Source organism: Homo sapiens, chromosome 4 (assembly GCF_000001405.40).
Source record: "Homo sapiens chromosome 4, GRCh38.p14 Primary Assembly".
Taxonomy (NCBI): Eukaryota; Metazoa; Chordata; class Mammalia; order Primates; family Hominidae; genus Homo; species Homo sapiens.
Window position 1 is genome coordinate 122469836 of NC_000004.12, and position 10769 is coordinate 122480604.

A 10769-nucleotide genomic window follows, 5' to 3' on the forward strand; every position below is an offset into this window, starting at 1 on the left:
GAATTGGGTATATAACCAGTGTATGTAAAACAAGTATAAAGAGAATGAAATGAACAAGTTAAAATTTAAAATTGTCTCTATTGTTAAATAGTAAAATATACTATATGGCATTCAATCAGTATTCTCATTACTGATTATTGTCACCTACTTAAGTCCCAAACATCAAAGAAGTGGCAATACATTTTCTTTGATTATTAAATGACATATTTTAAAACATCAGTATATTTAAATGTTTGAAAAATATTTTAAGATAAATAAGTGTATTAATAAATACTACAGAAATATGGGACTAGTTCAAGAAAACCTGGAAGCTAAAATATGGTATATGATGCTTATAAACAACCAGACCTAACTTTAGGTAACAAGTACCCCTGTTCTTGTAGCCAAATGTTTGATTACTCCAACCCTTGACTGGTGTACTAAGCAGCAGAACACTTTATGAAAAGCAGAAACCCCTAGGTCAGAAGATGCATATTGTGACTTAAATGTATTTAGCCCTCATAGTGTTTGTTTTGTATTTTAAGCCAACATTTAAAAATTGATAGAGGATGCAGATTGTGACTTAAATGTACTTAGTCCTCATAGTGTTTGTTTGTTTTGTATTTTAATTAAGGCAACATTTTAAAATTGGTACATTTAACTTAAAATTCTGGATTGGAGCTTGTGTTTAAACCTGTAAAGATAGGGAAAAAAAAAAAACCACCTCTGAAGACATGGCAGCACTGGTAGTCATTTGCTGAAGCTGGAAGCTACTTCCCTCCTTAAATGCCCTCATGCTGTGGTTACCAGTGGTCTTCCAACCGGCCACTTTGCTCATTATGTCATGTGATATAGTTTGGCTGTGTCCCCACCCAAATATCATCTTAAATTATAGTTCCGATAATCTCCATGTGTCTTGGGAGGGACCCAGTGGGAAGTAATTGAATCATGGGAGTGGGTTTTTCCTGTGCTATTCTGGTGATAGTGTATAAGTCTCACGAGATCTGATGGTTTTATAAAGGGCAGTTCCCCTGCACGCATTGTCTTGCCTGCTGCCATGTAAGATGTTCCTTTGGCACCCCCTTGCCTTCTGCCATAATTGTGAGGCCTCCCCAGGCATGTGGAACTGTGAGTCCATTAAACTTCTTTTTCTTTATAAATTACCCAGTCTCAGGTATGTCTTTATTAGCAGTGTGAGAATAGACTAATACACCATGGATCTAGCTTTGTAGGCCTTTGAGTTTGCAATCCTAAACCTAGGGAGAAGTTTAACCTGCTTTGTGACCTTGGGCATGATGCCGCGTATTTATAAGTCTTATTTAGCTCCTATTAAATGGGTCAAAGAATACCTGTCCTTCCTCTGTTCCTCATAGTACTGTTATAAAGATTTAACAAAATGATGTATTGAATGTACTTTTACAACTAAGAAGTCCTTACTTTTGGTCTTCTCTGTGAAACCTATGATATCAGTCTGACCGTTGAACCAAAGAGATTGTTTTTCCCTCAGCTTTATGGAAGTACCTTAAAAAATACATAAAAATTGTATTTAAGGTATACAACTTGATGTTTTGATATATGTGTACATTGTGAAATAATTGCCAAAATCAAACTACAGGCATACCTCATTTTATGGAGCTTTGACTTATTGCACTACACAGACATTGCTTTTTGGTTGTTCTGTCTTTTAACAAATGAAAGGTTTGTGGCAATTCTGTGTGGAGCAAATCTATCAGCAGCATTTTGCTAACGGCATGTGCTCATTTTATGCCTCTGTGTCACATTTTGTTAATTCTCACGATTTTTCAAACTTTTTCATTATTATTATTCTGTTATGGTACTCTGTGATTGGTGATCTTTGATCTTACTGTTGTAATTATTTTTGAGCCCCAGAAACCATCATGATACAAGACCACAAATTTATTGATATATGTTGTGTGTATTCTGACTCTTCCCCTGACTGGCCATTCCCCTGTCTCTCTCCCTTTCCCCAGGCCTTCCTGTTCCCAAAACACAATATTGAAATTGGACCAACAAGTAATTGGACCAACCTACAAAGGGCTCTAAGTGTTCAAGTGAAAGGAGGAGTCACATGGCTCTCACTTTAAATAAAAAACTAGAAGTGATTAAACTTAGTGAAGAAGTCATGTTGAAAACCAAGGTAGGCTGAAAGCTAGGACTGTTGTGCCAAACAGCCAAGTTTTAAATGCAAAGGAAAAGTTCTTAAAGGAAATTAAAAATGCTAATCCAATGAACACACGAATAGTAAGAGAGCAAAACAGCCTTATTGTTTATATGGAGAATGTCTGAGTGGTCTGAATAGAGGATCAAACCAGCCACAACATTTCCTTAAGCCAGTGCCTAAGTCAGAGCAAGGACTTAACTCTGTTCAATGCTATGAAGGCTGAGAGGTGAGGAAGTTGCAGAAGAAAAGTTAGAAGCTAGGAGATATTGGCTCATGAGGTTTAAGGAAAGAAGCTGTCTCCATGACATAAAAGTGCAAATTGAAGCAGCAAATGCTGATATAGAAGCTGCAGCAAGTTATCCAGAGATCTAGCTAAGTTAGTTGATGAAAGTAGTTACACTAAACAACAGATTTTCAGCATACACAAAACAACCTTCTATGGAACTAGATGCCATCTAGGACTTTCATAGCTAGAGAAGAGAAGTCAATGCCTAGCTTCAAAGCTTCAAAGGACAGCCTGACTCTCTTGTTAGGACCTAATGCACCTGGTGACTTTAAATAGAAGCCAGTGCTCATTTACCATTCTGAAAATGCTAGGGCCCTTAAATCTACTGTGCTCTATCAATGGAACAACACAGCTTGGATGACAGAACATCTTTGTATAGCATGGCTTACTGAATATGTTAAGCCCACTGTTGAGACCTACTACTCAGAAGAAAAGACTTCTTTCAAAATACTACTGCTCTTTGACAGTGCATCTGGTCATTCAAGAGCCCTGATGGAGGGATTAATGGGTTTTTTTTTTATGCCTACTAACACAACATTTGTTCTGCAGCCCATGGATCAAGGAGTAATTTCGACTCTCAATTCTTATAATTTAAGAAAGACATTTTGTAAGGCTGTAGCTGCCATAGACAGTGATTCCTCCAATGGATCTTGGCAAAGTAAGTTGAAAACCTTCTGGAAAAGATTCACCATTCTAGATGTCATTAAGAACATTTTGATTCATGAGAGGAGGTCAAAATATCAACATTACTAGGATTGTGGAAGAAGTTGGTCCCAACTCTCATGGATGACTTTGAGGGATTCAAGTCTACAATAGAGGAAGTAACTGCTTTCTCCACTGTAGTCTTGAATAGAGAGATGGGATAGAAATAGCAAGAGAACTAGAGTAAAAGTGGTGGGTGCCTGTTATCCCAGCTACTTGGGAGGCTGAAGCAGGAGAATCGCTCGAACCCAGGAAGCAGAGGTTGCAGTGAGCCGAGATGGCACCACTGCACTCCAGCCTGGGTGATAGAGCGAGACTCCATCTCAAATAAATAAATAAAAATAAATAAGTAAATAAAAGTGGAGCCTGAAGATGGGACTGAATTGTTGCAACTTCATGATAAAATTTGGATGGACAAGGAGTTACTTTCTATGGAGGAGCAAAGAAAGTGGTTTCTTGAGATGGAATTTATTCTGGGTGAAGAAACACTGTAGACATTGTTGAAATGACAAGGATTTAAAATAATAAACTTAGTTAATGAAACTGGGGTTTGAGGAGACATTCTACTGTGGATAAAATGCTATCAAACAGTGTCACATGCTACAGAGAACTATTTTATGAAAGGAAGAGTCAATGTGGCAAACATCATTATTTTCTTATTTAAAGAAATTGCCACAGCCACACCAACTGTCAGTTGTCAGTTATAGTATAAACATAACTTTTATGCACTGGAAACCAAAAAGAATTCGTGTGACTCACTTTATTGAAATATTTACTTTGTTGTGCTCATCTGGAGCCTAATCCTAATATATCTCAGGTATGCCTATACTGAGCATATCCATCATCTCACATAATTATGATTTTGTGTCTGTGTGTTGGTGGGGTGTTGCCATGAGAATATATAACATCTACCCTCTTAGCAAATTTCAAGTATAGAGTATTGTTAACTATAGTCATGCTGTACACTAGATCTCCAGAACTTATGCATCTTGCATAACTGAAACTTAATATCTTTACCAGTATCTCCCCATTTTCCCCTTCTCCCCCGCCCCGGCAACTACCATTCTATATGATGTTTCTATGAGTTTAATTATTTTAGATTCCATATTTAAGTGAGATAATACAGTATTTGTATATCTGTGTCTGGCTAATTTCACTCAGCATAATGTCCTCCAGGTTCACACTTGTCACAATTAGCAGGATTTTCTTTTTAAAGGCTGAATAGTATTCCATTGTGCATGTGTGTGTGTGTGCACCAATCACATTTTCTTTAACTGTTCATTCAAAGATGGATATTTATCTTGGTTATTGTGAATAATACTAAAATGAACATGAAGTGCAGATATCTCTTTGAGATCTTGATTTCATTTCCTTTCTATATATACCCAGAAGTAGGATCACTAGATTATATGGTAGTTCTAGTTTTAATTTTTTGAAGAACATCCATACTGTCTTCCAAAATGGCTGTACCAATTTACATTCCCTCCAACAGTGTACAAATGTTCTACTGTCTCCACAACCTCACCAACACTTGTTATCTTTTGTCTTTTTGATAATAGCCATTCTAACAGGTGTGAGGTGATATCTCCTTGTGATTTTGGTTTGCATTTCTGTGATGGTTAGTGATGTTGAACACCTTTTCATATACCTGTTGGCCGTTTGTATGTCTTCTTTGGAGAAATGTCTATTCAGATCCTTTGCCCATTTTTTAATTGGGCTATTTGTGTTTTTGCTATTGAGTTGTATGAATTTCTTATAAATTTTAGAAACTTACTCCTTCTTAAATATATGGTTCAGAAATATTTCTCCCATTCCATGGATTGCCTTTTAACTCTGTTAATTGTTTCCTTTGCTGTGCAGAAACTTTTTAGCTTGAAGGAACACCATTTACTGATTTTTGCTTTTGTTGCCTATGCTTTTGGTGTCATAGCCAAAAAAATTATTGCCAAGACCAATTTCAAAAAGATTTTTACCCTGTTTTTTTCTAGTAGCTTTACAGGTTCAGATCTTATATTTAAGTCTTTAATCCATTTTAAATTTATTTTTATATATGGTGTCAGATAAAGGCCCAATTTCATTTTTTTGTGGATATACAATTTTCTCAACACCATTTATTTACTTATTTATTTATTTAACTTCTATTTTCGTTTCAGGGGTACATGTGCAGGTTTGTATTATAGTAAATTGCATGTCATGGGGGATTTGGTGTACAGATTATCACCCAGGTAATAAGCATAGTGTCCAATAGGTAGTTTTTCAGTCCTCTCTCTCCTCCCACCCTCCACCCTCAAGTAGGCCCCAGTGTCTCTTGTTCTCTTCTTTGTGTCTATGCATTCCCAGTGTTTGGCTTTCACTTATAAATGAAAACGTAGTATTTGGTTTTCTGTTTCTGCATTAGTTCACTTAGGATAATGGTCTCTAGCTCTATCTATGTCACTGTAAAGAACATGATCTCAGTCTTTTTTATGGCTGCATAGTATTCTATGGTTCAACACCATTTATTAAAAAGGCTATCATTTCTCCATCGTGTGTTCTTGGTACTCTTGGTGACAATCAATTGACCGTAAGTGGGTGGATTCATATCTGGTCTCTCTATTCAGTTTCATTGGTCTATATATCTATTATTGTTTCAGTATTATAGTGTTTTGACTACTGTAGCTTTGCAATATATTTTGAAATCTGGATGTGTGATGCCTCCATCTATCTTTTTCTTGTTCAAGGTTGCTTTGGCAATTCAGGGTTTTTTGTGGTTCCATATGAATTTTATAATTTTTTTTCTATTTCTGTAAATAATATCATTGAAATTTTGATAGGGATTGCATTAAATCTGCAAACCGCTTTGGGTAGTGTAGACATTTTAACAATATTAATTCTTCCAGTCCATGAACACAGGATGTCTTTCCATTCATTTCTTTCTTCTTCATTTACTTTCATCAATGTTTTATAGTTTTCCGTGTACACATCTCTCACTTCCTTGGCTAAATTTGCTCCTATTTTATCTATCTATGTATTTATTTCTGGTGCTATTATAAATAGGATTATTTCCTTAATTTCCTTTTTCCATCATTTGTTGGTGGTATAGGAACACAACTGAGTTTTGTATGTTGATTTGTATATTGCAACATAGTTCCAACAGAATTTTTTGAGTAGTATTTAGGATTTTCTACATCTACTAGAAATACTACTTCTAGATGTAGATTATATCATCTATAAACAGAGATACTTTTACTACTTCTTTCGAAATTTAATGCTTTTTATTTCTTTGTCTTGCTTCATTGCTCTCTCTGACTAGGACTTCTAGTACCAGACTGAATTGAAGAGGTGAGAGTAGTCATCCTTGCCTTGTTACACATCACTGATTATGATATTAGCTGTGTGCTTTTCATGTATGGCTTTACTGTGTTAAGGTAAGTTCCTCCTGTACCTAATTTGTTGAGAGTTTTTATCATGAAAGGGTGTTAATTTTTGCCAAATGCTTTTTCTGCTTTTATTGAGATGATCATGGGATTCTTATTCTTTAGTCTGTTAGTGTGGTATATCACATTGATTGATTTACAAATGTTGAACCATCCTTTCATTCCCGGGATAAATTTTGCTTGGTCATGGTGCATTAACTGACTAATGTACTGTTCAATTCAGTTTGCTAATATTTTGTTGAGGATTTTTGTATCCATGTTCATCAAGGATATAGACCTGTAGTTTTCTTGAGGTGTCTTTGTCTGGCTTTGGTATTAGGGTGATGTCGATATCATGAATGTGAAAGTCTTCCCTCTTCTATTTTTAGAAGAGTTTAAAAAGGCCTGGTATTAATTCTTTTTTAAATGTTTAGTGTAATTCACCCATGAAGCCATCTGCTCCTGGGCTTTTCTTTGATGAGAAGTTTCAGATGATTCAGTCCTTTTATGTGTACTCATCTGTTCAGGTTTTCTATTTCTTGACTCAATCTTAATAGTTTGCATGTTTCTAGGAACTTGTCTATGCCTTCTGTGTTGTTTGATATTTTGGCATATAGTCATTCAGAATAGTCCCTTATGAACATTTTTATTTCTGTGTCACCAGGTGTAATGTCTCTTCTTTTATTTCTGACTTTGAGTTTTCTCTTTTTCTTTTCTTGGTTGGTCGAGCTAAGTATTTGTTGATTCTGTTTAGCTTTCAAAAAACCAACTGTTAGTTTTCTCCATTTTTGTGATATTTTTCTATTCTCTATTTCATTTTATTCTTTCCTTATATCTGCTAACTTTGGGCATACTTTGTTCTTTTTTTTTTTTTTGTAGTTCTTTGAGGTGTAATATTAGGTTGTTTATTTGAGATCTTTCTTCTTCTTCTTCTTCTTCTTTTTTTTTTTTTTTTTTTTGAGACAGAGTCTCACTTTGTCTCCCAGGCTAGAGTACAGTGGCATGATCTCGACTAACTGCAGCCTCCCACTCCCAGGTTCAAGTGATTCTCCTGCCCCACCCTCCCACATAGCTGGGATTACAAGCTCCCACCTGCCACCACGCCCAGCTAATTTTTGTATTTTTAGTAGAGACAGGGTTTCACCATGTTGGCCAGACTGGTCACGAACTCCTGACCTCAAGTGATCCGCCCACCTGGACCTCCCAAAGTGCTGGGATTACAGGCGTGAGCCACTGTGCCTGGCCTTTTCTTCATTTTTTGATGTGGGCATTTATCTCCCAAAGTGCTGGGATTACAGACTTGAGCCCCTGTGCGTGGACTTTTCTTCATTTCTTGATGTAGGCATTTATCTCTATAAAATTCCCTCTTATTACTGTTTTTGTTCTATCCTATAAGTTTTGGTATGCATGTTTTTGTCTTCATTTTTCTCAAGATTTTTATAATTTCCCTTTGATTTCTTCATTGACCCAATGGTTGTTCAAAAGTGTATTGTTTAATTAGTATGTATTTGTGAGTTTTACCATTTTCCCTTTGTTATAGATCTCTACTTTCATTCCATTGTGGTCAGAAAAGAAACTTGGGATGATTTCAATCTTCTTAATTTGTTAAGACTTGTTTTGTGACCTAATGAGTGATCTTTCCTAGAGAATATTTCATGTGTGCTTGAGAAGACTGCATGCTGCTGCAATGTTCTGTATATGTCTGTTAGGTCGATTTGGGCTATAGTGTTGTTCCAGTCTAATGCTTCCTATTTATTTTATTATCTGGATGACCTATTGATTATTGAAAGTGGGTACTGAAGTCTCTTACTGTTATTTTATTGCTGTCTGTTTCTCCCGTCCTGTCAATTTTTTAAATAAATATTTAGGTGCTCTGATTATGTTTGGTGCATATGTGTGTGTGTGTGTGTGTATATATATATGTTTATAATTATTATAAGCTTTTGATGAATTGACACACATCGTTATATGATGACCTTTTCCTGTCTCTTATAACCTCTTTTTACTTAAAAAGTCTATTTTGGGCTGGGCACGGTGGCTCACACCTGTAATCCCAGCATTTTGGGAGGCCGAGGTGGGTGGATCACCTGGAGTCAGGAGTTCAAGACCAGCCTGACCAACATGGTGAAACCCTGTCTCTACTAAAAATACAAAAATTAGCTGAGCATGGTGGCGGTCACCTGTAATCCCAGTTACTCAGGAAGCTAAGGCAGGAGAATCACTTGAACCCAGGAGGCAGAGATTGCAGTGAGCTGAGATTGTACCATTGCACTCCAGCCTAGGTGACAAAGTGAGACTCCATCTAAAAAAAAAAAAATTAATTAATTAAAAAAATGAAAAGTCTATTTTGTCTGATGTAAGTACAGCTACCTTTGTTCCCTTTTGGCTACCATTTGCATGGAATATCTTTTTTCATCTCTTTACTCTCAGCCTATATGTGTCTGTAAATCTAAAATGAGTCTCTTACAGGCAGGGTATAGCTGGATCTTGTTTTGGTTTTTTTTTTTTAATCTATGTAGCCACTATATGTCTTTTGATTGGTGAATTTAATCCATTTGCATTTAAAGTAATTATATATTGGTAAGGACTTTCTACTGCCGTTTATTGGTAGTTTTCTGACTGTTTTATAGTTCCTTTGTTCCCTTCTTTTACTCTTCCTGTTATCCTTTGTGATTTCGTGATTTTTTTTATAGTGGTATGCTTTGATTCCTTTCACTTTATCTTTTGTGTATTTACTACAGATTTTTTTTTACTTGGGATTACTGTGAGGTTTATGATTATATAAAAACACTTTATAACAGTCTATTTTAAGCCAATAACCACTTAACTCTGACCACAAGCAAAAACTACACTTTAACTTCTCCTCTCCCAACATCTTATGTAACTGACATCACAATTTACATCTTTTAATTTTATGTATCCATTAACAAATTATTGTAGCTATATTTTAACTTTTATAATAGAGTTAAAAAGTATTTACACACCACCATTACAGCATTAGAGTATTCTAAATTTGACTCTATTCTAACCTTTACAGTGAGTTTTTATACTTCTATGTGTTTTCATGTTGTTAGTTAGCGTCTTTTCATTTAAGATTGAAGAATTCCCATTAGTGCTTCTGGTAAAGCAGATCTAAAAGTGTCAGATCACATTATAAAAGAATTCCTTTGGGTGCCCTTAGCGTGAGTGTCCTTATAAGACCTTACAGATCAGCTGAGTCTAACTGATCTGGGAACCCCACCCATGCACCAAAACCTAGGGCTTACAGGGAAGATCCGCTCCATGATCCAGATGGAGGGAACTAGGACAGGGACTGGAAAGGAACCAGGAAGAAGTAAAGGGTTAGGGTAGAGAGAAATAGTCTGCAAAATCTTCACCTAGAGGGGAGAAATCTTAGATCTAGGGGAGCTTACCAAGCTTCCTCTCAGCACCGTCGGGGAGACAGCTGAGCTGTAGACCTTGGTGCATTGACTTTGATCACATTAGGGGAATCCAGGATTCTCTGTGGATCCCACCCTTATCACCAGTCATGTCAACTGAAGAATGCTAAGGGATTTATGCTGAGCACGGTAGCTGAATATAGATATTTAATAAGCTGTAGGAGGAGTTATGTATATTTATGGAAGAAGAAATATGCATATGTGCAGTTGAGCTTCATGTCCCTTCATGACGGCACTAGCATGATTCAGAGGTGGAGTTTTCAGTCCTTTGACATCAAAAGGTGAAGCAAAGGACGTGAAAGCCCTCCCTGGGCATCCTCTATAGACAGGCCAGAACCACTCTGTCATCAGTAGTCTCTTATCAGGAAGGAATGCTGGTTTGCTGTTGTGCCAAAACCAAAAAAGGAAGGGGGCAGTGTCAGGCAGTTGGTTAATATCAACAGTGGAGTCTTCAAAGGGCTGGTTTCTGTTTAACCCACAGGGAAGAAAGGCTAATGGTGGTGAGCGAGGAAGGACGTATAATGAGATGTGTCTGACCTCCCATCCTGTCATGGTTAGAAATTTAGTTTTTAAGGTTTCTCTGGGGTCCCCTTGGTGAAGAGGGGGGGCATTCAGTCAGCTGGGGGGCTTGGAATTTTATTTTTATTTCTCAGGTGTCTAAATCTCTCTGGTGTGCCATGGGTTTGTGGTTTTATCTTTTTTTTTTTTCTAATTAGATCTCATACTGATTTAAAATTGGTAAGAGGGTTTATTTTTCTTAGAAAGTGGATCTCTCTGAGGAGGAA

General features: G+C 36.5%; 1 annotated feature.

Annotated features, from left to right (window-relative positions):
• Positions 10219–10513: a silencer, noted in NCBI's record as "tiled region #4201; K562 Repressive DNase matched - State 5:Enh". NCBI's record gives its function as "represses a minimal TATA promoter and a strong SV40 promoter by Sharpr-MPRA in K562 cells {active_cell/tissue: K562}" and the evidence as "EXISTENCE:reporter gene assay evidence [ECO:0000049][PMID:27701403]".